General features: G+C 34.3%; 1 protein-coding gene across 3 annotated transcripts in view; it reads right to left on the reverse strand.

Moving 5' to 3' along the window:
- Positions 1–27,725, reverse strand: part of LRP1B (LDL receptor related protein 1B) — a 1,899,594-nt gene that overhangs the window by 1,553,422 nt on the left and 318,447 nt on the right. For all 3 annotated transcript variants that reach the window (NM_018557.3, XM_017004341.2, XM_047444771.1), the window contains exon 2: positions 25,435–25,557. In NM_018557.3, coding sequence (NP_061027.2) covers positions 25,435–25,557 — 123 coding nt within the window. The remainder of the gene's footprint in view (positions 1–25,434; positions 25,558–27,725) is intronic.

Raw genomic sequence — 27,725 nt, forward strand, 5'->3', positions numbered from 1 at the left:
TTCTTAATTCTTGCCCAATTTCTTTTACGGACTGTGTACTACCTTTGGTTTTCCTCAAGTCCTACATATGAATTTGGAGATACATGCAGATAGTCAAGTTACCGATAGGTGGATAGATATGGCAGTGGTAACCCCTTAAGAGATCAAATAGGTGAGGAGTTCTCTGGCATACTAGAGACTTCTAGTCATCATCCATTTCTGATTTCCTTCTCCCTCCTAACTTCACAGGAAAAAAACCTTTCTCAGCACCTTTGCTTTTCAGCAGAGACACATGACTAGTCTGCCAAATGACACATATCACTTCTGGCTCAAAATGATCAGTCTGCCATTTCCATATTCCTTTTTTCCCCTACAGTGATGACCTTGGAAACCATATGCAGAGATGGCAATATCATGAAACAGAGTCATCAGATGGAGAAGGTTGTCAGCTAAGAGTCATCAGACTTCATGTCAGCAAGAAATAACTAAGTTGCTCAGTCTCAGAGTTTATCTGTTGCAGCACTTAGTAATTGCATATCCTGGCTGACACATCTGTGACCATCTGTGAGAAATGTGTGATAGCAAGAAGCCGAACTTAACATACAGTTGTATGATCACTGCATTGGCTCTGGAAAGGAAACTGTTAAAAGATTTTAGGTGACTCTTTTCCATGTGTCAAAATGTGGTTCATAATCACAACTATGTATAAGAGATGTGAAAGGACTAAACAAGCCCTTAAGATGAAGTATCACTCCATCCTAATGATGGCAGTAGTAAAGATGGTCAGAGTGTTAGCATGTCCAAAAAACGGAAAAGATATATTTTCCTTCACATCTAGTGTGCTTATGTGCCTTTAGGAGAGACGGAGCAGAAATTACTTGGCCTTCTCCGTATATAGTTCTTTCTATTCTTGGAACTGATAGAGTCCAAGGTCCATATATGATAATCAACATAATGTTTGCCTTTGGGAAAAGGGCAGATAAAGATTTCACACTGTGGAATCAGTTTTGACTCTACCTAATAGTCCATTCATATTAAAATATGAATTCCAAGGAGAAAGAAAGAACAGAATTTTGAGGTGGCTTCAGAGACTTAAAGAAGATTAAATTTATATGACAACTACAGTAAATGCAATTCACTAATATTTGCAAATTAAAAATTCTAAGTGAGCCACCACATTATTGTTTTGGAGATGATGGAGTGAGATGCATGGCATTTTCTCATAACCTCTATAAAGGGGATAGCTAAAATTTGCCTTTCATCTGGCAATGAAAGTATTCTAAGAATTATTCCGATACTTTTCCACTGTATAATCACTCAATTATATTCATGTGAAAGAAGAAAACAAATGGTATAAATAAGTGGCACTTATGATGGCAACTTTTAATTAAACACATCTTATTTTTTCTACAATAAAAGGAAAGTGGAAGCCTTCAGTATTAACTACTGGATTATAACTGACATATTTGAGTATCCTCAACTGTGTCTTTGTGCTTCTGCTATGGGGATTATAGAGAAAGGAGAACTGTGGAAAGAGTAAAAGTCTAAGAACCAGATATATTCTGTACTTGTTTGTTCCAATAGAGAAGGCTAGTATGGTTTTGAAAGCCGAAAACCAATTTGAATATGAAAATGAGATTGATTTTTGTATATTGTTCTTGTATCTTATAGCCTTCCTAAATTCACTTACAAGTACTGCTAGCTTTTTTCTGTGTAATATATTTGATGATTTTTCTACCTATAATATCAAGCTACCAGAAAACACAGATAATTGTGTTTCTTTCTTTCCAACATGTCTGCCTTTGATTTCCTTTGCTTGTCTTATTGGACTGGCTAGGACCACTGGTATGAGATTGAACTGGAGTAGGGAGAGCAGACATCCTTGTCTTGTTCTTGATCAACCAAAAAAAGCACGGAACCTCTCACCATTAATGATGATATTGGCTGTAGGACTTTTAAAAATGTCTTTTTACATGCTGAGGAAATTTCCTTTAATTTCTATCTTTCTTAGAGTTCTTCATCATTAATACATGTTGAATTTTGCCAAATGCCTTCGCTGCATACATTGAGATGACTATATAGTTTTTCTCCTTTAGTATTTTGATATGGTGAATTATATTGAGTGATTTTTAATATTGAAACAATCCAATATTTCCAGTATCAACATCACTTGGTCATGTTACAATGTTATGCATTTTATATCCTTTTGTATTAAATTCACTAATATTTGGTTGATGATTTCTAGGTCTCTTTCATTAGGGATAATATCAAGTGCTGGTAAAGATGCAAAACAACTGGAACTCTCACACATTGCTAGTAGGAATACAAAATGGTACAGCTATTTTAGAAAACTGTATGGAAGTTTCTCATAAATTTATGTATTTTCTTACATGACCTATAAATTCCACTCCTAGAAGTTCAATCAAGAGAAAAGCAAACTTATGTTAACACAAAATCTGTTCATGAAATTATATAGCAGCTGTATTCATAGTCGCACCAAACTGGAAACAACCCAAATGCTTTTCAACCAGTGAATGTATCAGAAAACTGTGATACAGCTACACAATAGAATACAATTCATCAATACAAAGAATTAGCTACTGATATATGCAATCACATAGATTAATCTCAAATGCATTATGCTGTGTGAAAGAAGCCAGACACCAAAGGCTACCCATTGTATGAATCCACTTAGTGTCATACTAGAAAAAATAAAATAATAAGGACAAAATACAGATCAGTGTCAGGGATCAAAGGTCGAGGAAGGAGTTGACTACAAATAGAAAAAAAAACAACTTCTTGGGATAAAGAGAATTTTCTAACTCTTGATTTACTTGATGTTCCACAATAGTAGGCATTTATCAAACCTTTATACTAAAAGTTTTTTTACTGTACATAAATTATACCTCAATAAAATTAACTTCTTAAAAAAAAAACCACTGATTTTCCAAATGATGTGAGTACTATACTTGGCTACATATACTTACAATGTTGCTCATCTTTAAACTACTAATTTCTAATGAAAATATAGTAGCCTTTCTCATTAAAATCTTTTTCTCCATATGTCTCTTTTTACTTTTCCATAAGTTTATTTATGGCTAACATTCTAACCAATTTTATCATCATATATTGATGGAACACTCTCAAAAATGTATAAAGGAATAGAATTCTGTCCTAACTCTGTGCTATTGAAGACTTATTATTTGGTTAGTTTTTCATAACTGGTAGGAAGTACCTAATCTCTGAGATAGAAGTAAGCTTTCCTTAGACAAACACTCTTCAGTATAACACATCTGCCTCTACAAGATTTATGTGACAGGCCCATATTTATAAATCTCCAAAGAAAGATAAAACTAGTAGCTTTTTGTTGCTTGCAACAAACCTAGGATTTGAGCTACACACCGTCTGAAATCATTTTATGAAAACCTTCTTGGAATTGTTGAGCTCCCTAAAACTGAAGTGATGATTCCTAACCTGGGAAGATTTTGTGAGCTATTCTATTGCATGTTTCTGCTAGAGTCCCATAAACTGGATTGTTTGAAAGCAGGAATTACAGAAACACTGCTGATGTCTTGTATTTACCATATATGAACAATTCTATGATATTATTAGAAGCTGTGTAAAATATTGCAATAACATCTGGAACTTAGCACTCATTGAATGGTTGCTCCTAATTGTACTATTATTCTTTTTTATTCATTTCTAATTAAATTTTATTTTTATTATACTTTAAGTTTTAGGGTACATGTGCACAATGTGCAGGTTAGTTACATATGTATACATGTGCCATGTTGGTGTGCTGCACCTGTTAACTCATCATTTAACATTTGGTATATCTCCTAATGCTATCCCTTCCCCTTCCCCCCACCCCCACCCCACAACAGGCTCTGGTGTGTGATGTTCCCCTTCCTGTGTCCATGTGTTCTCACTGTTCAATTCCCACCTATGAGCGAGAACATGCGGTGTTTGTTTTTTTGCCCTTGCGACAGTTTGCTAAGAATGATGGTTTCCAGCTTCATCCATGTCCCTACAAAGGACATGAACTTATCATTTTTTATGGCTGCATAGTATTCCATGGTGTATATGTGCCACATTTTCTTAATCCAGTCTATCATTGTTGGACATTTGGTTCCAAGTCTTTGCTATTGTGAATAGTGCCACAATAAACATATGTGTGCATGTGTCTTTATAGCAGCATGATTTATAATCCTTTGGGTATATACCCAGTAATGGGATGCCTGGGTCAAATGGTGTTTCTAGTTCTAGATCCCTGAGGAATCGCCACACTGACTTCCACAATGGTTGAACTAGTTTACAGTCCCACCAACAGTGTATTATTCTTTAGAAAAATTTAATATACGGCTTCTGGATAAGGATTGAAGAAAACTAGATGTTTTATAGGAGGGGGGTGTCCAGTTTTCTAATTGAAACTCTCCTAATACTTACAGCATTGTTACAAAATGATAAAACATTTTAGTATCACTCTTAGTACCATATCTTCACATGACGAGAACTCAAGAAATTTTAGCTATAAATAAAAATAATACTATCAACCACAACGCCAACAGCAAAAACAGCCCACATACCACTTGTCAAGAAAAATAAGAGAAGTAGTTTTGTTGTTGTTTTATTGACCATATTAACAACATGTAAGCTTGTTAGTGATTGCAAACCTTAAGTTTAGGTTTCAGGTTCCAAAGAAACCACCAAGATGATCTGATACAATCATGCCTTGGATTAGTAAGAAACACACCAACTTTCCTTTATGTTTTTCTTTTCATTAAAAAAATTCATATGGAACAGAAATTGCTTTTATAAGGATGTCAGTGTTTTGGCTGCTAGAGAGCTGTTTATACTTTCCAGTTTCATTTAGTGGGAAGAAGAAAGAATGTAAGAATAGCTCATGTGGTAGTATTGGTAAGGTGAGTAGGGCCAAGGAAACCTGTGTCAATTTTGCAATGAGGTGGTCTAATAATTTTCTAAATATTTTCAAAGTTATGCAGTTTCCCTCCGATCTTCCTCAAATAAGTGTCTTCTACTTAGAGGAGACTAAAAGGACTCCAAATGTCCTTCATTTTTCCCTTTTATTGATGACTTAACCAGCGTCGATATGTTACATTATAGCTTCAAGCACTCTATAGTCCCTGAAGTTGAATGGCTAAGGTCCATTAGAGGATTCAAGTTAGGAATAAAGAAAGAGTTTAAGCCTAGTAGTTTTCCACATTAACAACGTCCTCCTACTGCTTGTTCAGATTCATTTTTCAGGTGTTAATGCCTTGGACACACACCGTTTGAATCATTACCTCATTGTTATTGATGCATAGTTTGTCCCTGGAGATAAACTTTGCAATTTATCTTCAAGTATGTTTTATCATGAAAAATTACCAGTCTTTACTCCAGTAGAGGTTCAGTTACTTAATTAAAATAAATGTATTCTTTTAATGGATAGAAATAACCCTACAATATACATTCTTAGATTTCATTTGTATTTAAGCATTTTAGAAAAAAAAAACTCCACAAATAATTAATTATATTATATATAATTTTTCTGATCTCAGATATACTTCAGAGCAGTTGTTTCAAGCTGTGTTCTATTGTGCCCTGGGAATTCTGAAAAGGTTCCCTGGAGGCTGCTGTGGGGTGGAGGGTAGGTAGGTGGCAACTGTTCAGGTGCCCTCATTTCTACCCAGCTTGAACAACAGTAGTCAGGATTTTATCTAATTTATGTAGTGGGAATCACCATTAAAAAGTGAAAAATGTTTCTTGGCTTAAATAATATTTTGGAAGTTGAGTCTCCAGCAGCACCATCCTACATTCTCCCTCATTAACTGCCTTTTGTAATAAAAAATCTATCTTACAAACTATGGTAATGAGTTCCATGGTAACAAACCAGTCCATATTTTTTTGTTGTTGTATAGAAAAATGATTCTAGAAATTTTAAGGCTACTAATGTTATATGCATTACAAATAGACGTTAAAGTTAAAAAGAACACAGAAATTGGTGGTAATGAGTTCCTTGGTAACAAAGCATTTCATATTTTTTTGTTGTATAGAAATACAATTCTAGAAGATTTAAGGCTACTAATGTTATATGCATTACAAATAGATGTTAAAGTTAAAAAGAATACAGAAGTTGGTGCTACAGTAAACTTGACATACATCAGTAAATTTTCTGAACCCCATCTTTTTAAATGGTATAAAATTGCTAGTAAGTGAAGTTCTGTTTTTTTAAAAAGTAATCTTTTAATTATTTTTGATATTTTTATCTCTATCAAGAATATAATTTTTACTAAAGCAATTCTGAAGCATTTTGGCTAAAAAATTCCTGACACCACAAGCAATAAAGTGTCTTAAACAAAAAACTTACATGAAAAATAGTAAAAAGAGAGAATTGCATTCACAAAGAAATTTAGAAAATTATGAAATTGTACTAAAACATATACATATATAGATGAGTACAGTATTTGTTCACCTTTATAAATGCCAAAGACAAAAACTGAAAAACCACTTTTTTCCAACTTTTTCAGTGCTCTATTTATATGGATTGAGCTATATACACACACACACAACCTGGGAATGTATTTCAAAAGAGTAGATAAGTATTTAAAAACTTTTTCTTACTATTTTGTTCATAATAAACATCATGTACATTTCAAATTAAATATATCTTTTAACATTTTTGCTGGATTGTTAACTTATTAACCAAACAATTAGAGATCAGACTTTAGTAGTGCCTAATATTTGCAATTGTTCCTTTATCTTCATTTTAATTTGGCACATTTAGGAAAATTCCAAATTGACATTGAGGTTGCAACACCTCTTTCTTCACTCTGTGGGTGATTTTCGAAATGATTAACAACTAGTGTGGAATGAGAACCAATGAGACAGGACACACAGAGCAGACGTACAACACTCACAACAATTTGCAACAGCCACAGCATGCTAGCCAGTAAGCAGTCCTGCCCTCTTGAGTTTTCAAATTGTAATGGTTAATTAATTAATTATGTTATGTTCCATGCTGGTTATGTCCACTTACAAAAGATCATCCAGCTAGTCAGTAGATCATGGCTAAGGTAGCACATTCCTGATTTCCAGTGCTTTCCTAGAGAGTACATAGATTCCCATGAATCAAAATGCCATTAACTTCGGTAAGTGCACGTTTGGCAGTTGCATTTTGTTGAAGCAGTTTTTCATAATAATTAATATTCCATTCATTTTTCAAGTCTTTTTTTTTGGTATCAGTGCCGAATCCCAAGACTTAAAAAAATTCCACCTCCTCATAAATGCCATTTTCATCACTAGTATTCACTTTGTTTATATTGTACAAATTTAATACAACATAAATGCAACATAGGGAATGCAATGTAGGGAAGGCTTCTGTCAATAACTAAGCAAGGCAGAATAAGAAAGGATAAACTAAGAACAATAAAAAAGAAAAGTAAATATGAGTACAGAGCCATTGATCTCAGACCCATACTTTTGACATTCAAAACTCAGAATCTTGTCTATTGAAATAATAATTTATGAATCCATAATTTCATTCCCTTAAAAAAGAAAGTGCAGATGTTTGGTGACAGAAAGGAACCTCTTGTGGACCCTGCATTTATGTTAATATATGTTTCATCATGAAAAATTACCAGTGAAAGACTCCATCAGAGAGTCAGTTATTTAATTAAAATGAATCACGTGTTGTATAGTATAGTTTGACTGCAGACATACATGATGTGCTGGGGCAATATTAATAGACTGAGTTAGCTACTTTCCTAATCGCTAACAAGTTTCCTAATGCTTCATAAAGACTATGCCCTAAAAGATAAAATAAATAGCACTTATTCCTAGTTATTGTAAAACTGGACACTTCATTTCTATTTCTATGAGGTCCATCCTATGACACACAAATCAGAACCACAGGGAACCAACGTGGTCTCAGACCACAGGGAACGAATAGTGTAATGACATTCCACTTAGCTAAATTTAGATCTGGTTATGTCATAATATCAATGAAAAGGGAAAATAAATAGTTCAAGACAAATAGATCATCAATTATTCCAAAGATTAAGAAAAATATCTTGAAAAAGAAAACATTCTTATAATATGTCTTTCATAGGCAGTCCATTGATAATAATAAAAATTTTTGAATAAGGTTTTTAAGAGATCATTTACTTGTCTACCATTTTAGATGCTATCAGCTGCCTTGTTAAAAAGGATAAATTACATTTTGGTTGACTCCTCTGCTTGTTACAGCAAGTTATTCTTTTATTTCATGGTTGTACATTACACATTGTGAAAAAAACATTCCTTTTTTCTCTATTCATAGTCAAGTATCTTTTTGCTGATTAAAATAGCTTCATGTTGCATGCTTAATGAAATCGCTAAATACTTGTTTTAAATCACAATTTTGCTTTTTTAAAATAGTGTTATGTTCTTCATTCTAAAAGACCATCTGCTTTCAAATGACAATGGGTTTTATGAGTAACGCTAAGGAGAAACAGTTATTACACTTAAACACATTTTTGCTGGAATAAAGGGTAACAGTCTACTACTACTTAAACACATTGAACACTTTTGTATAGTGCCTAAAGGCTAAACATGTCATTACTAGAATGAGAGTTTCTATAACAGATTTATCTGGTCCCAGGTTCCAAGGTTAAGTGGCATAAGCCCAACACTTTAAAAAAGAAGGGTAATAGATTATAATTTAAAAATCACTCAAAGTTATCAGAATTATTTTTATACAAAAATTAATGCTGCCAAATTTCCAAATTGTACTATCATTTGCTTTTTCATTAGAGCGAATAGCATATGAAAACTCTTTCCAATATATAATTACTATTTTTATGGCAAATAAACAACTTATTAAAATATCGCTATTGATATTAAAAATATTTCATCATTTATTTTAAGAAACTTTAAATTCTTCACTTTATATTTGTTTTAACGTGTATCAGTTAAAATTAAGTTAGAATCTGAGGCACTTCTTTGGAATCTAAATGCATTTCCCTTCTTTTTTCTCTTCATTTTCTTTTTTATCTGTACATAGAGAGGAGTTTTTATCCTTACTTATTCCAATTAAGTCGGAATATTATCGAAACTGAACTTGTTAACTAAGTAGTTTTGGTTTCCTTTTTATAAGTAATGGATCTAATTGTGGGAGTTAAAAGTTAAGACAAAATAACACAATAAATTTAAAAACAATAAAATGCATTGAAAGCAAGCATATTATTAATACTATTGGAATTAGGTCATCTAATCATCAGCCTTTTTTAAATTCCCATCCTTAGAAGGAATATTTTAGTCTAGAAAGAAAGTAACTTTTCCCCCCACATCTTGAATGTGGGCATGACACTCATGAATGAATGGGTTTTGACTTTGATAGAAGTCTCTATGAGAGGACATGGCTAATGAAAACTCTTCCCCTTTGCATCTTCACATTTTTGCAGTAAGTAAACAGGAAATTATTGATTATTTTTGATATCAGGAGAGGCTTATTATTATATCAAGACAAATGCCTCACATTTTGTAAAACCTAAATCCCTCTTACAAATCACCTTATTACAAATCTCAAGCTAAATAAAATACCAGGTGAAGCTCTTTTGCTGTCAGACCTGATTAAAATCTGTTCAGATTGAAGGGCTCTAGTTCCTGGCAAAATCTACCTGAAGCAACTCTTCAGGTATGAGTTTCTACAAATGAGCATAAATAATAAAAGAAAAATAACTGATATACTATTTCTTAAAAATTACAGATAAGTACTTTGATCACCATATGTGATATATATAAGAACATGTATATTTTATGATACATAAGATATTTAGGGTATGGTACTAATGACAGCCTTCTATTCTCCACACATAACAGACTTTTTTTACACCTTTCCAGTAACTTCAAAAATATTTTAATAAAGTATATAATTGATGTCTTATAGTTCCACAGTACCAACGAAATAAAGTCCTATGACCAAAGTCAAAAGAATAATTCTTAAAACTGTCCTCAGGAAATTATATGTCAAAAATGTCATCAGATTGTTTTTAAAGTGTAAGGAACATTGCATTTTGGGACAGGTACACACAACTATATTGGGTTAGTATTATTTTTATCAGAGCTTGGAAATATTCTCTTTAAGGTCCATCAGTATTTCTATCACAGATTTGCCTCGTGGTGAAAATAATGGAGTTGTAAAAGTATTGAAAATGAGACCTTGAGTTAAATGTAAATTGTATTAATTGATTTTCAAGAGATTATTTTTTAGGTTGTTGAGAAGTAAAAGAAAAGCTAATTGATCAACAGTGTTTTCTTGAGTGTTGTTTATAAGTTTAAAAGAGTCTGAAAGACTATTTGGCAAGCACCGTAGTACGATCTAATGGTTTTATGCCCAGTTATTTATCCCTTATATTAGGATATCTTTCTGTAAGTTAAGCAAGGTGAGTACCATTTATACTTTTTTTTATGCTGATCATAATCTCCTAGTCTCCATGCTGTCACATGAAAAATCCACACATATATCAAGTAACCAGATAATTTTCTTTATAAAAAAATATTATGTTGTGTGTACATGCATGTGTGTGTTTGCACATGCGTGAGTGTGCACAGCAGCCCTTGAGGGAAGATGGAAGCAAAGGCCAAAGTTAGTGTAGGGATACACATCTACATTAATTTTAAGTTTAGAAATTTAGTTACAAATTATTATTTCAGAGTCCACGTTTGTGGTGATTCCATTGTTATTATTTTGATAAATAATGACAGGCAGTCAGTACAAAAAAGGTTTAAAACTATATTACTGGGTGGCACATGTACAAATTGGAAAGAACAGAAAAGAAGATGTAAGCCAAGGGGATGTCAATTCCAGTCACGGTTCTGATGTTTATTAACTATGTGTCCTTAAGCCTGTTGCTTTACCTTACTGCACTAGTATTTTATTTTTATTTTTTCTTCTGGCATGTATGCAGGCTGAACCAGTTTTAATTCATTGCATCTAAAAGTGCCCAGTAAATCAACTTTTCACTATCAAGAAATAGAGAATGAAAACCAGGAGCAATATATATATATATATATATATATATATATATATATATATATAATCTTTAAGCAAAATTTAACATGAACCTGGCCATCTGAATCTTGATCACAAAGGATGCAACTCACAGTGGGTTGCAGAGGTTCAGTTTATTCATGGGTTAAATCTTAAACACAAGCCAATCTCAGCTACTTAATAGTATATTATTGATAGCCAATCCAATTACTGTGATTCCTTGAGCCTAGAACACATATCTAATTTGTTAAATCAGTTTTTGAGGAATAACAAATTCTCTCACTCTGTCAAATATCAGTCAATACCCAAAAGTTTAAAACAAATGCCAAACTTACTATATACTTTTATTTCTATTTATCAATGAAAGAAATACTTAAAGATTACTAGAAAAATAGTTGTGGTAATGCCAACCCAATTACATGGTTCCAATCGGAGTGCAGAAATTCAACATTCATACCTTCAAGAATCCACTTACCTTGAAGGTAAACTATTTGCACACACATATCCATCACTACAGCAATGAAGGTATCATTAATATCTTGTTAAATTTATAAACTGCTTTCTGGTTTAGGATTGTAAGAATGTATCTAATCTGCCTTGCCTCAATTTGGATGCTATTATAGGCAGGCTCTTTTAAAAAAAACTAGGACCAGTATGGATTTCTTTTTTCTTTCTTTTATTCTTTACCTTCAATTTCAATCTGAACATAGAGATAGCATTTTATTCTTTTTTTTTTTTTTTTTGGCTTTGTATGACATGTGAAAAGATTCCAGTAGGAATGCAGAGTCATCAATACTCAATTTGGCTGAAATCCTGACAGTTGTCAACATAACAGAGACAGCTATATTATAGGTTCCTCAACTTGCAAACATTTTCTCTTGCATTTGCAGTTGTAAAGCAGATTCAAATATTTTCTTTCACTACCATCAAAGAGTAGGGCCTTACATAACAACCATCTTTGGGAGGAATTTTTTTTTGTGTGTGAAATGAAACCTTCTTCAGGGTCTACTTTCCCTTTTGAAATACTACATTCAATTGTTTCATTGCTGAACCAATTAAATATATACACAAAAAACTTGTTGACAGTAGTAAAAGAAAGATTGGATGAAAAAATTCTAAAAGGTAGACTGTCCGTGTCTCGAGGAGTTTTTTCCTATTTATGTGAAGAAAGTTCACAAAACAATTGTGTAAATTTCTTAAAGTATGTTGGATATAATTCTGTGACTCATGAATTCTATAAAGAAGGTACCTAGTCAAATAAACTTCCAGTTAAAGTTTAACTTTGAAAATAATCATATATATATATATATATATATATATATATATATATATATAACTATATATATCTTCAGGGAATTCAAGTGCTCTGCATCATATCTGAAACTGCCTATGGACTTATTTTTTAAATCTCAGGCAAAAAAAAATGTATAGTCTGCTCACTGTATGCAGAACAATGGATGGAGACACAAAGAGAGGAAAAGATTGCTGTCCTTAAGGATTCTAACAGTGTCATGAGGGAAACAGAGTATTTGTTCCTTGAAACAGAAGTAACAGTTATTCTGTGTGTCATATTTAGCTAGACTAGGAAAATCCAATATAAGGTTTTGGGCATTGGAAAGGGAGGGTGAGTGACACAATTCAAAAAGTGCAAAGTTCAAATTTATCAGCCCCATTCTTCTTTTGGTATATATTTTCAAATTCACATAACATAAGGATATGCTCGATTCTAAGGTCTTAAGTTTTATTGTTTTCTAAGTCCTTTTCCTAATGGAAGAGTTAGAACCATACAAGACTCCTTCTATCTTGAACTACTTAGCTATAAGGTTTACAGCTATGCCTTATGTTCTGAAAAAATTTTGTTGTAATTTAATGTTGGTTACGAAGCTATTAAGCAGCATCAAACCAACCTATCTTTTGATTAAACACAATGAGGAAAGTGTACCATAACTTACGGCATATTATTGGGAAAATATTTACCTGGTCAGAAAACAGCCAGAAAAACCTTGATTGTGTGATATTCTATAGGTAAACATCAATATCATAATAAACAAGAGAAACGGGAAAATATTCTGGATTAAAGAAGACTAGAAACCTATGACAATTATAGGCAATGCATTATCCTTGGTTGGATCCTGGATTCGGTAAAATAATTACAAATAATACTCTGGGGACAGTTGGAGAAGTTTGAATGGGAATTAGATATTATACAATATTATACCTATGTAAGGGTTATATAAGAATATGTATTGTTCCTAGAAAGATTTAGGTGTAAACACATCATGTCTGCATGTATTAAAATGGTTTGGCAAAAAACATGTATAAACATACAAATGTATGCGTGATGTGAACATGACAAATATGTATTAGAGACAGATGAAGAAAAAATGCAACAAAATGTAATGATTGATAAATCCAGTGTATACAGGTGTTTATCATACTATTCTTCTGATTTTTCTGTCAGCTTAAAGTTCACAATGAAAAGCAGAGGGAGCAAATTCAACTTTTAAAACAAGTAACAAGTAATCTTTATGAGATAAGCTGGTGACTAAAGACGTCTTAGAATATATTTTAAAGGTCAGGCACGGTGGCTCACGCCTATAATCCCAGCACTTCTGGGGGGCCGAGGCAGGTGGATCAGGCAGTCAAGAGATTGAGACCATCCTGGCCAACATGATGAAACCCCGTCTCTACTAAAAATACAAAAATTAGCTGGGCGTGGTGGTGGGTGCCTGTAGTCCCAGCTACTCGGGAGGCTGAGGCAGGAGGATCACTTGAACACGGGAGGTAGACATTGCAGGGAGCCGAGATGGTGCCACTGCACTCCAGCCTGGCAACAGAGTAAGACTCTGTCTCAAAAAAAAAAAAAAAAAAAAAAAAGAATATATTTTAAAAAGCAAAATTATCTTGTGTGTTATGGGCTGAATTGGTCCTCCCAAAATTCATATGTGGAAGTCCTAAACTTCAGTACCTCAGAATGTGGCTGTATTTCAAGATAGGGTTTTAAGGAGGTAATTAAGGTAAAATGAGGTTTTATGGGTGGGCCCTAATCCAATATGACTGGTGCCCTTGTGAGAAGATGAGACTAGGACACAGATACACTCAGAGGGATAACCCTGTGAAGACACTAGATGAAGACAGCCACCTGCAAGCCAAGGAGAAAGGCCAAAGAATGAAACCAACCCTACCGAGACCTTGATTTCAGAATTCCAGCCTCCAGAACTACGAGGATATAAATGAGTTTTGTGTAAGCCACCCAGTGTGTGGTGTTTTTTTAAGGCAGCCCGCGCAGACGAATACGCTATGTTAGTTGGAATTCTAATGTCTCCCAATGACCCTCACCCTTGTCTAACCCTCTCTCTTTTGAATGTGGGTAGAAGCTGTGAGCATAATGTGATATCATTCTTAAGATTATATCACATTCCGTGACAAAAGGGAGATAGCTAAGTGTTCTAGTCACATGATGTCTTTAAAGACAGAGTGTTTTCCCCATTTGGCCACAGAAGCGGAAGCCAGGGATTTGAATCATGAAACGTGAGGGGGTTTTGACACACCACTGCTTGGTTTGAAAATGGAGGGGTTGCACGCCAAGACATGTAGATTGCTTTTAATTGTTGAGCGTGGCTGCAGCTGACAACCAGAAAGAAAATGTGCCCTTGGTCCTAAAACCACAAGAAACTGAATTCAGCCAAGACCCTAAATAAACTTGGAGGCTGATTCTTCCTCACACCCTCTCGATAAGTCCCCAGCCTGAGGGAGTCCTTGATCTCAGCCTTGTGAGGCCTTATGGATCCTCACTTCTGAACCCTCCTCACTTCCGAACCACAAAACTGAGAAATAATAAATGGGTTTCAACATGTTAAATTTGTGGTAATTTATTACACAAAAATAAAAAAACTGATTCAAAAATCCAGAAACTTCACTGTTACGTTTAACAATCTGTTTTTAAAGAGTGTGTCTGTGTGTGTGTGTGTGTGTGTGTATGACAGAGAGAGAGGCTAAGATAATGTTATACTTATTTTTTCCAGATTAATTTGTTTATATACACACAAACTTCATGTGCATATGTATATAAATATTAACCTATATAAATTATACATTTATTACCACAGTAACATATATACTCTTATGATCATATCCTTTCTAATTGGAAAATAAACAATTTAAATCTTCTCTCCAATTATTACTACATCTCTCTTTCGTCTTTGGCATATTTATCTTATTATTCCCAATATCAACCACAGGCCCTGTCATATAGTAGTCACTCAATTAAAATCTGTTGTGTCTAAAATGAATGGCTGAACATACATACATCTGGATAGCATATATACATGAGGTTGTATGGCATCATGGAAAGCAGGTTGACTTGAGTGCAATGTGACACAGGCATGAATGACAATCTTGCTCCACTAAGCATCAAGATGTTGACCTTGGTAATCCCTTGAACTCCAGGCTGTATAGCATGCTGCAGTGTTCACTGGTAGCTCTATCACTTAATTACTTTAAGTAAATTTCCTTTTGCTTTATTTCTATCCCCTGTAAAAGGGGACCATGAATACTATCATAAGTAGGGCCACAAATCTCCTATTGCATCTTCATGCAAATTAGAAAATATTGCCTCCTCTTCAAGATAATTTATTTCCATTTGTGAGAAAATATATACACCCATGCTATGTGCAATATTTATGTCACTCCAGTACCTTGGATAACCTGAGCAACTGTACCTGACACTCTGCTCAGGGTTTTTGTCAGGATCAAAGGAGATAATCCATGTAACCTTCACAGCACAGTATCTGGCACATATGAATCATTCATTCATGTCAGTAATCATCATGAATCTTTATCATAAACATCATCTTCTTTATCATGGAAAGAATAGCATTTAACCAGAATAGATAAAGTGAGAAAAAAACTAGCATAGGTTAAAGCTATGGCACATGAAAAGGTATGGAATAAATTGTTGCTTTTATGTGCTCAGAAGCACCTTGATGCAGTAGTCCCCCAACAAATAGCTGCTGATTGATTGAATGGTTTCTAGTTTTTGTAAATAAAAAGCATTTATATATTACGAGAAATGTAGTTCAATGACAAAATATTTTTCACCATTTAAGTGAAAATGAATAATGTATCATTTATTTCAAAATTGAATTGCCTAACGTGCACATTTGAAAGCAAAATGTAACAAAATTCTGCAAAAGCCCTTGTGGAGAAAGAAACATTTCTTTTTACTGTCAAATTACATAGGCTTTATTGCCTAACCCAATGATCGATTCAGAATTGAAAATTACAATAATCTAATACAGATTATAACCTAATATAGTATATTAATTATATGCATGTTTGGACGTATGCATCTGTTATACATTTCTACTGTTTTCCTCAGAAAATAATGGTACTTAGGTCAAGTATACAAGTTTGTTTATATATGCATGCATGTGTGTGTTTCTATATATTTTAGAGACAAGATCTTGCTCTATCACCCAGGCTGGAGGGCAGTGGCTCAATCATGGCTCACTGCAGCCTTGAGTTCTTGGGTTCAAGTAATCCTCTTGCCTTGGCTTCCTTAAACACTGGGATTACAGGGTTGAACCACTGCACCTGGCCTGTTTTTTGTGTTGTAACGAGATAGCTTTGCAAAGATAGCCGTTATTTGCACTTCCATCTGCATGTGCTAGATCACCAGGAGGACAGGTCTCAGACAAACCTACTTTTGAAAAGTTTGGAGCAACCCATCATCTATCAATACTTGAAAAAGACATATATTTGCAGTACAGAATTTTTCAGTGGATTTTCAATGAGAAGTGCTTTTTCATTTGCATAGTAACTCTGTATAATTACATTAGGTGTTCTTAAAGGTTTGTAACTACCTTTACCCCACCAGAAACTGGTGATTTCATTTCACATTTCTTTAACAGGCTTATAATGTCTATAACATTAGTACTCTAGAATTTAGTAATATTTAGTATATATCTTCAAGAAAAATTTAAGAAATTTTTAATTGCTGGATTTTTCTTACACTGGTATTAAAATACATCAACTTTTAATAGATATATAGTAAGATGTGGAATTTGTCTGGTAGGGCTGCCATAACAAAATACCATACACTAGATGGCTTAAGCAACAGAAATTTATTTTCCTACAGTTCTGGGGGCCATAAGTCCAAGATCAAGAAATCTACAAGGTTGGTTTCCTCTGAGGCCTCTTTTGTTTGCTTGTAAATGGCCACCTGCTTGCTAAATTCATGCTGAATTCTAAGATGAGTATTTTGTGTTAACAATTACTTTTCTGTTGGCAACTCAGTCAGAGGTGTTGGGAAGTGTTTTTGCTTTCTTCTTTGCTGCTGGGTACCGAGGAAAATGTGTCTCAGTTTGAGGGATTCTCCTCTCTTGTATCTGATCTTTCAGGGTTGACCAGTGAACAGTATGAGCATACTCTTTCCCTCCCAAGGTATCTTTCTTCAGTACAAAAATAGAAACTATGAGGTTTGGATCCCTCCTACCCAACCCCTTCTTCACCTATCTTTGCCTGAACTTCTCTCCTTTGAGAGCAATTTCTGCCATCCTGAAAATCAGAAAAGCTAATGTTATGAAGTTTTTAGAAAAACAAACAAACAAACAAACAAACAAAACCCAAAGTCAGTTATATTGCCTGAACTTCAACAGGGCCAATATAGCAATTAATAAACTGATGAGATGCTTTGTCCTACTGAAAATTCCATAGGCAGAGAGTAGAGGTATTTCAGGGTAGAATGATGGAAGACATGGGGAGAGGGAGAGAGAAAAAAAGGCATCACCATTAAAAATAAGTTCTTAGAACACGACATCCTTTAGTGCTTCATTTAGCAAAATATGTCATTTTAGAAGCACTTCTGAGTGAAAGTCAAATGTAAATTTTATACACTGACTATAAAGAATAAAGCGTCCTCCGGGAAGAAATGTGCTCACACATGAAAGGTAAGAAGCCTTCATCCACAACCCCAAATGCTAGATTAGTTGTAGATAAATGATGGATTGAATAGTTTCTGGGAAGACTCCTTGCTCAGTCTTCAGCTTTGTCCCTGTAGAGTCCTGCAAGATCGTTTGTTTACAGTACATCGTCTTTTAAGCCAAGGAGATTTCACCAGTTGTTTCCAGAATTCCTGTATTTCATTTCACCCCTGCTATTTTACCTCATTTCAAAGTTTTCATTCCCCATAGTTTATAGCCCCGCCTGAGGGACATGTGTCCCCTTTTATTCTGTGACCTGTGGTCTTGGATCAGGAGACCGAAAAGCACTGACTTCTTGAGTGAAAAGGTGAGACTTTTGTCATTGCTGAGCTCGTATGCCTGTGTGAATTGTACTTCCATCACCTATGCCTGCAATCGACCTTTTTTTTTTTTTAATTGTAGAGGCAGACTCTCAGAGACCCATTAGTGCATTGTGAGAGCAGAATGAGGAGTAATGTCACCCCCTACTCTGACCCCACTGTACTGGGCAAATGTACCAGTGTTAGGCCCTTTCAATTCACAATTACACTGATCCCCACCTTCCTATCCCCCCTGCATATCAACTCTTAAGTGGGAGTCTTTTTATTATTAAAGAAGGGTCAATGCTTTTTGGCCTCTCTACTGCTGAAGAGAGGAGTCTCAGAATAAAATGAAGAACAAAACAAAAAGAATTGAAAGAGACATAAACTGTCCTCATGGGTCTCATATGCTTTCCCTTTAATCTGTAAGATCATTTCAGCTTTTCTACCTAACGAAAAGCTTAGCTTTGTGACTCTCATATATTAGCTCATTGCAAAGTGACCTCTAAATCACCATTACTTAGAAACACGGACCATACTTCTATCTGTTTTATAGTTTCTATAGTCTACTTTCAGTGCCTTATTCTACTATATAATTTTAAAGGGCAGTATCTGTTTGCTAATAACCTCCCACCTGAATTCTATTTTATTTCTCTGACCTATGTCAAAGATAGAAAGTTCAGAAGGAAATTATAAAAGGATTTCTATCTTATATCCAAGGGGAAAGGTCAGTGTATGAATATAAGAAGTTCATTAAAATCCTACTACCTAAATAAAGTTTAAAATTTCACAACAACGGAAACATAATAGAATCATTGGTCAATTCATGCAGATTCACATCTCACCTAATGACTTATAGACATTTTCATTTTTCATAGATGCTTCTCTTCCTAGTACCCAAGAGACTTGTTCTTTTTATTGCATTGTTCAATTAGAAGTGATCACTCCCAAAGCCAGTGTGAAACAATCCTTTTGGGATGGCCTTCCATAATTTTCAAATGACAATGTATTTTTAAATTAGGTAGCCTGAAGGATTCTTTTAGGAATTGGATCCTGCTTTATCTCAGTATTTCAAAAAAGGAGGGCAAATTCAAAGAAATGTATACTCTGCTTTCCCTAACAAGAGCTAACATAGAAGGGGAGAGAAGGATTATAAACTCAACTTCTTTATTTTTTAAAAATGAGATATTATCTACATTTCAGGACTTCAGTGTCAATTAATATTTTTGACTATTGTATTTTTAATACATGTATTTCAAATTTAGTCAATTATTCAACATCAAGGTTTTTGGAAGAGTTCCTAGAAAAAGTCACCTGCCCCCAAATAATTTCTATACCAAATGTATCCCAGTGTTTGAATTTAATATATCTGATCATTAAAAATTATTTATAACTTAACTTGAATTAGCATATGTAGATTAAACCTCTTCCCAGCCATGTCCTTAGGGAACAGAACTGACTTTCAGTTAGGTTTTGAGAAAGAATGAGAGAGGATCGACCGAGAGGGGGCAGTTAGATTGTGTATCAAAAGAACCTCAAGGTAAGATGCATCATTGGTGCTCTGGGCATCTGGAAGGCAGATGGGGTATAGAGTGGAGAAGGAATGTTACTATGGAATAGGCACTTATTCTGAGCACTTTACTGTGAGGCAGGTACTACCATTTCCATTGTACAGATGGGATAATGAAGGCACAATATGGTTAAATTAGTTGTCCAAGAGCAAAGATATTCGTGGAAAAACTGAGCCTTGGAGCCAAGCAGTTGCTGTGATCATGCACTGTGCATACCATCTCCTATGCAGCAGAAGCCAAGGAGGAGAGTGAAGGGACACTGTGGTACATACTACCAAGTTCCTTTGCCTGCCCAATATCTCTTCTCCCCTTTTCTTTACTAGCAGAACCCCAAATATTGTTTTGGAAAGCAAAAGGTCTTGTTGACAATACTCATTGCCCCATGCCCCATATAACCCATTCTGGTGAAAGAGATCGACTGCATTTGCTTTCTGTGCAATTTATCCTTTTCCTAACAGAGAGGCTCAACTGGCATTTGCCTTTTCCCTTTACTCTTTTCCTTCTGGTTTTCCAAAATGAGGTTATCTACTAGGAGAGAAGCAGCCATACTGTGGATATGGGACTGAGTAAGGAAAGATAGAAGAAGCCTGTTGTCATTCTGAATCTGTCATAGCAGTTCTGAATTATCCACTTTTGCAACTTTTTATGAAGAAAGAAAACCCCTATTCAGTTAAGTCACTGTTTCTATAACATGCAGTCAAATGCAATCCTAACCAATAAGGAAGTATGAAAAAATAGAAGGAAACAAAACCCAGCATATGTAGACTACACCATATTGCATCAGTCTGGCACCATGACTGGTAGATGCAAACAAAACTCTGTGCTTCGTGCATTCATTGTGTGAGGTTATGCTGTTCCATGGAGCAGCAGTGCCTGAGCACAGACCTGCCTCAACTGTATAGCAGATATATTTCAGCTACGCTACTACAACAAAGATTTGGCAAATTATATAGCCTGCTGGCCAAATCTGACCTGTGGCCTATTACCGTACAGACTGTAAGCTGAGAGATTTTGTTTTCTTCCTCCCTTTTAAAGGTTTTCAAAACAAACTGAAAAACAAATAAAAACAAAGAATATGCAGCAGAGATCGTATGGGCCTTTAAAGCCTAAATATTTACTATCTGCTTTTTACAGAAAAAGCATGCTGACCCTTGTAGGACAGGACAGAGAAGAGTCCAGCTTGCAAATATTGCTTAGGACATTTTTATTCTCCTTTGTTGGTCAATGAGTCATTATGCCCAAAACATGATCTGTGACTGAAGAACTCACTCAATGATTCTGTGAAGGGGAATGGGCAGGAAGTAGGGAAGAAGTTTGAATAGCATGGCTAATACCTTCCTTTCTTAAAAAGAAATAATCTAGTTTTAAGTATAATGATGTCAGATTTCTGGAAAATATCATACATCAGCTGGAGCCAAGTGTTGAAAAGGAAGTATCATTAAGCATTCCACAGAAAATTCTAGAAGGAATTAAATCTTGAATACCTCAGAATAAAAGTGCCTTTCAAGAAGACGTTCCTGCTACAGGTGGTACCAAGCTTTCATTCTCTAAATAAACACTTTCACTATTTATTTTCATTCTCATCACATGCTATGCTAACAACATTGGGTTGAAAGCTATGAGTAGAAAGATGGTGATTTCCCTGATTTTCTATTCTCATTGCCTCATAGAGCCTAAAACTGGTGTTAGTCTTTATTTAGACACTTGAAAAATTATTTTAAATAATATGCAGAAATAAAGGCTTTCATTTTTATGACTAAAAGTCCTTACCATATACAATGGTAAGATTATAAATTATTAAAATTTTCCAATTGTGTATTTTAGATAATTCTTCCCAACATGAAATCAGCTTATTTGTAAGTCAACCTCACACAACAGTTTTCTATGTGTATTGGTATCACTAAATTTTAACTCCTGCTTCATGAATACTAGAGAATACCCTAGATCCTGGGCACAAACACACACAGAAGAGAAGGAAAATATGGACTCGATAAACTTTCAGATTTCTAAGTATCTAAATTTTATTTAGTTTCCAGGATTTCTTATTGTTCTGTACATATGTTTTCCTTCTAAAGCATTTTATAAGTAAGGCTTTTCTTCTTCCCAAACAATATCCATTTAATTCCTGTTAGAATTTTGTCACTTCAGAGATTTCACAATGTCACAATAAATTCTATGCTAGAGTGGTCTTTCTATCATTTTAAAGCTAAGTGGATTTCAGAAAAAAATAACTATTGCATCGGCTGTTTTTATCTAATATTTTGTAGATACAACATACTTTGTCTTCAAAGCAAAGATGTTAACATACTTTTGTTCATATACTGAGCACAAATTATCCTTCCTAAGAATCAGTCTCCAAGGTTTTCCGTTGTTAATATTTATCTTTCATATCGAATGTATACATTCATATAAAATTATGCAATTATTTTATGTAGATTAGTGATGACTGCATGTGAATATCATAAAACAACACATTACAAAGTACTGTGATTACAGAAAATGATAATGGTGAACATCTGGATTGAGAAATTTAAATTTGGCAAAGACTGATATTTTCATAACGCTTTTTTTTTCTATGCATGTCCAAATTTCAATTGGTATTGATGGAAACCATTTATAGGGAACAAGCCAATTAAATATAAATCTAAATATCTTGAACAGATTAAATGAATAAAACAGGTACAAAAAATAGTTATTTCTCTGTCTTTGTTATGTGGCTGATTAATAAAGAGCAGTTTCAGTGTTGCCTTTAAGGATATTCAGCAATTTTAATGTTAGAGGATAAAATATGAATGGCCAAAGTGAAGAAACATTTTAATTTTGGATCCATCAAATGTTATTGGAGAGGAAAGGACTGTATATTTAAACAACTGCCAAGAATATCTTGAGCAGGTATGAATTTTATTTTACAAACTAAGTAAGCAGAATATCAATCTCTATTTTTAATTAACTGACACGCAATTTCCAATTTGAGGCCTCCATCTGCTAAAAGCCCCTAAACTCTGTGAACTGAAGGACCACCTTTTTACACAAATTCAAGGTGGTATGTACATTATGGGCAGGGTGGCTATTCAAATATTTAACAGCATTGCAGTGGAGATTTTGACCATTTTGAGTAGATGCCTAATCAATCAGGGTGAATACTGGTCGGTGCATACAGGCCTGGTACACTGGTGTGGGCCTTCTGGGTATCTGCCATGTTTCTAGAGACATGGAGTGGACATAGGAGGATGGCAGAATATTTGTCATCACCTACTTCGACATGCATTGAGAGGTCTCTTTTCTCTCTGGACTTTACCTACTGACTACACAGGTTACTAGTGCCCCATTTAGACACAAAATCTCTCCAGTCTGTTTCTCCACTGAGCTCCCTCTTGAGCACAAAGGGAACATCCTTGTTCATCATTCTTCACCGGCATGAAGGAGACTCCAACCTAGATGTGCCATGCCACCATTTCTTCTCAACTACTATTGCATTGTGCCAGTCACACAGTTCTATGGTGTTTCCCCTCCACCCTGGCTTTCCTGCATATGAATTCTGCAAATCTGTGTCATGTCCTTGTTATTTTCTCCATCACAGAATTCACAGGAGGATCAGGGCAGAATGCAAGACCCTATACCAAAATTAAAGAACCTGACTCTTACTCTGATTATGCTATGGAAGTCTTTCCTTGTAGCTAAAGAGGAGAGAATTTCTAGATACCACTTGAAAAGGAGAGGGCTAAAGCTTAAAAAGAGTTGGGATGTTGAAATACGGTCTCACTACTTGTATAATGTAGGGCCAAAGCATTTATTATTGTTGTTTTTCCACATTCCTATATTTCTTCATCCATATGCACAATATTGAGATTTATCTTCCCTTTTCAAACACATTTAAGATATAATTCACATGACATAATTCACCCATTTAAAATGTACATTCCCATGTTTAAAACATATCAACAGAGTTGTACAAGCATCATCATAATCTAATTTAAGAATATTTTTATAAACCCCCAAAAGACCGTATATTCAATAACAGTCATTCCTCATTCCCTTGCCTGTGTCCCACCCTACCTAGCCCCTGGCAACCCCTCTCCCACTTTCTGTCTCTATAGATTTGCCTATTTTGCATCTTGTATAATATGAAGGGAATCGTAAAACATGTGATCTTTTTTGATGAGCTTCTTCCCCTTAGCGTGTTTTCCAGGTTCATCCATGTTGTAGCATGTAGGAGTACTTCATTCCTTTTCATTACCAAATAATATTCCTCTATATGGGTTTATCACAATTTATCCATTAGAATTTTTCCTATGAACCTTTTATCTTTAACTTATCTGCTGAGAACCTTGTCTATGCTATAAGGAATCTAGTAAAGAGTTTTGAAAGGTTTTTGGGAGTTAACTAGTGAAACTGGTGAAAATTAGAAATGCAGCAGTAAATGACTATAAACTCTTCCTGTGGAAAAAGTGATCGGCTCAAAATAAAGCGAAGCAATTCCTGCAAATATTCAGGTATTCACCTTTTGAGAAACCTTAAAAGGACGTCAAACATAAAGGAAATTAATAAGCATTTGCCTCTAACAGCAAGGTTTTCTTCAAAACTGTCTGCAAGACTTGTAAATGGAAAGATGAAAATGGAAAATGAAACCAATAATTGTTATTTCTACAATATCAAGTAATGAAGACGGATTTTTTTTTCACATTAGCTTCATACAACTATGTGGTTACTCTGGGGATGATATTGACATGTCAGCATACCTGGTTGCCTGAAGAGCACAGGTTGATATGAGAAATTCTAGAAATATCACTATCAATATTCAGGGGACTGTTCATACCCCTTATGGTAAGTGGGTATTAAAAAAAGTGGGCCATATTTAGCTATGGTCATATTATTATTTATAATTTGTTATAGTGGTATGTGTAATATGGAAAAAGCCTTCGGTGGATTCCAAGTTATAGTAGTACAACTATGATTAGGATTCATGTATACTAAGGGTTTCTGAATCTGATATTATAAAGACAAAGATCCTAACTCTATGAATGGATAAAGTTTCTATCTATCTTTCAGTCTCAAAGGAAAATATGTTCAATTATTTGTGTACTGCCCTGAGATATTAATATAAATAACATGGGAACTAAAGCTTGATTTCTTCAATATTCCTTCTGTCTCAAAATGTGTGAGATAATTTATTGGGGAAGGTCTTTTCCCTTTTAGCGCTATATTTTAAATTTTCTCAAGTCATTTTTTTCTAGTGTTAACACAATCACATTGAAATAATTAACCTCACATTTTCTTCCTTTCATAAGTTAATTCACACTCCAAAACTGCATTTTATGCTCTCCTTCACATACTCATATTTAAAAAAAAACACAAACAAAAGGTTTCAAGTTTCTTAGGCTATTTGGAAAAAAGAAAGAAAGAAAGAAAAAGAAAGAAAGAAAGAAAGAAAGAAAGAAAGAAAGAAAGAAAGAAAGAAAGAAGGAAAGAAAGAAAGAAAGAATCATCTAGAACAGCAGTCATCTGTGAAAACAACTGACATTTAGTTTCACATGTAAGGTAAATCCGAATGGCATGAGAACCTTTCTACTCACAGGTATCTAAAGACTCGTCTGAATCATCAGGGCAGTCAGGGTCCCCATCACACAGCCAGCTCTGGGAGACACAAGTCACGTGATCGTGGCAAAGAAATTCACCAGGATCACACAACTGCTGATCTGAAAATGAAAATGTTTCGAAATAAAATATGAATGATCTGAACATGGGCAGAACGAGCAGTACAAACATGAAATGTGAAAAAGCAATACATAAAAGGTACATGAATATGATCCACATTTTCTGTTCGGCAGCAAAGACAAACCAATTATTTTTCTTAATTTTAACCACTCAGCTGAAACACACAATTTTAATACACTTGACTTTGTTATAGGTTCACACTATCTGTTCTGGAAATAGTTAAAAATTCTGTTCCTGTTCATGACTAGGGGCTTTATCGGATCAAAGATGGAATATAGATATTCCAGCAAGTTAGTTTTATATAAGATGTTGAATCAAAGCAGAGGCTCTTGAGCATAGAAATTTTAGTTTCTTTCTCAGCTCTGAGAGAAAGAAAAAATTAGTTGAGTTAAATATTAATATTATAGTTAAAAATCCATTTCTGAGTATTCAGTTCTTAACCATCCATCCTGATACTGGGGCTTCACGTCTCTACGTGAGTTGGATACCCAATATCACAGTATTTTCTTTTTTTTTTCCATGACTTCCAAGGTGACAACTTCTGCTACTAGATGGCAGAAGTGATAGTAAACTTCCATAAAGGTTTTTTTTCTAACTCAAATTTTCTACAGTTGTTTGTGACTAAAACGTCTGCTATTTTCCTTCCTTTGTTTCAGGATATTTGAAATCTGCAGCCTTTCCTCAAGTCCTCGCAAACTCATCAGATGTTTGTTTTCCACAGCATATTTGCTTTTATCACGTGAATCCCTTTACAAACTAATTATTCTTTACATCTTAATATGTCTGAAATAGGAATGTTTCTTACAGTCATGGTCTCTGAATGTGAAGAAGTGTTGGGAATACCTTAGCCATTATATTTCACTGGTAATTTTGTTGTATGTATATAAAAATAACTCAAGATTTTAAAAATCCAACATTAAATAGGTCTCGGTGAGCTCTTTCAATAAATATCAAATAAAAATTCTAAGTGATATGAAAGCATTAGGCCATAACTTAATTGACAGTTTTGCCCGAGCAATATGGAAAATAATACTATATCTTACACTCAATGGTATCCTAGATTTGATTTAATATGGTACATATTTCCTTACTCTCCCTCAACTTCCCTCCGCCTGATACCAGCAGCATAAATTTCAGTAAATATGCATTGCAAACACATATATCTTTAAAATCTACAGATGTAGGGTATAAGAGTAGTCTTTTCCATACTCAAACTATAGCTATTTCGTGACAACTCATTTTATTTTATCCTATTATATTTTTATTAAGTTAACCACCAACAGCATGCTCATCACCATCACTGTCATAATTATTTTTCACATTAAGTTGCTTGAGCATACTTTGTATTTGGCCTCAGACTTGGTGCTGTAGAATCAACGATGTAGAAGCCAGTCTTTGTCTTAAAGGATCCAATAGACTAGTTGTGTCTACAGATCTCACTCTCCAAAAAATGGTAAAAGAAGAAACCACAGGAAGAGACAGGCTGAGACAAATAAAAAAATAGTTTTGGGATGTCTGTATTCCTCTAAAGATGGGTGGGCTTTGGATAAGTGGAATATAGGACATTTCAGGTAAGATTTAGAGTAAATGGTTGCTAAGGTAATAATTATTGCAGTGCATTTGAGAAAAAATACATTTTCTACTGAAATGGAAATGGCATTCAGGTTATAAGACCTGGGTTTTCCCCATCAAACAGTGGTGTGTGATATTTATAAGTATGCTTGAATGCTAGAGGAGGAGGGCTTACATTTTGCTTTAGGCTGTCACATAACTTTTGAAGTTAATGTAGAGAAAGAGCATGGAATAAAATTCAAATTATTTTGCTTATAGATAAAGAGACCATATAATTTATCACCAAGCTGAGAGAGTTCTGAGACTGAAAGTAGGTTTATTAGTAATTATTAGTAATTATTAGTAATTACACTGGGACAACAGGTATAAACCAAGTTTATCCCAGAAAAGTCAGAATGGATGTTCATTTTATCTATAGCTACTTTGCGTTTGATCTACGGTCTTGAAATGCTAGATTTTATCTCCCTTCCTCCCAAACCATATCAAATTGTTATGTGGAGAGGGGAAATGTCATTCCATAGTGTGTGACTCAGTGAATAATTGATAAGTACTTGTTGAAAATATAAAGGAGTAAAGA

This window comes from Homo sapiens, chromosome 2, assembly GCF_000001405.40.
Source record: "Homo sapiens chromosome 2, GRCh38.p14 Primary Assembly".
NCBI lineage: Eukaryota > Metazoa > Chordata > Mammalia > Primates > Hominidae > Homo > Homo sapiens.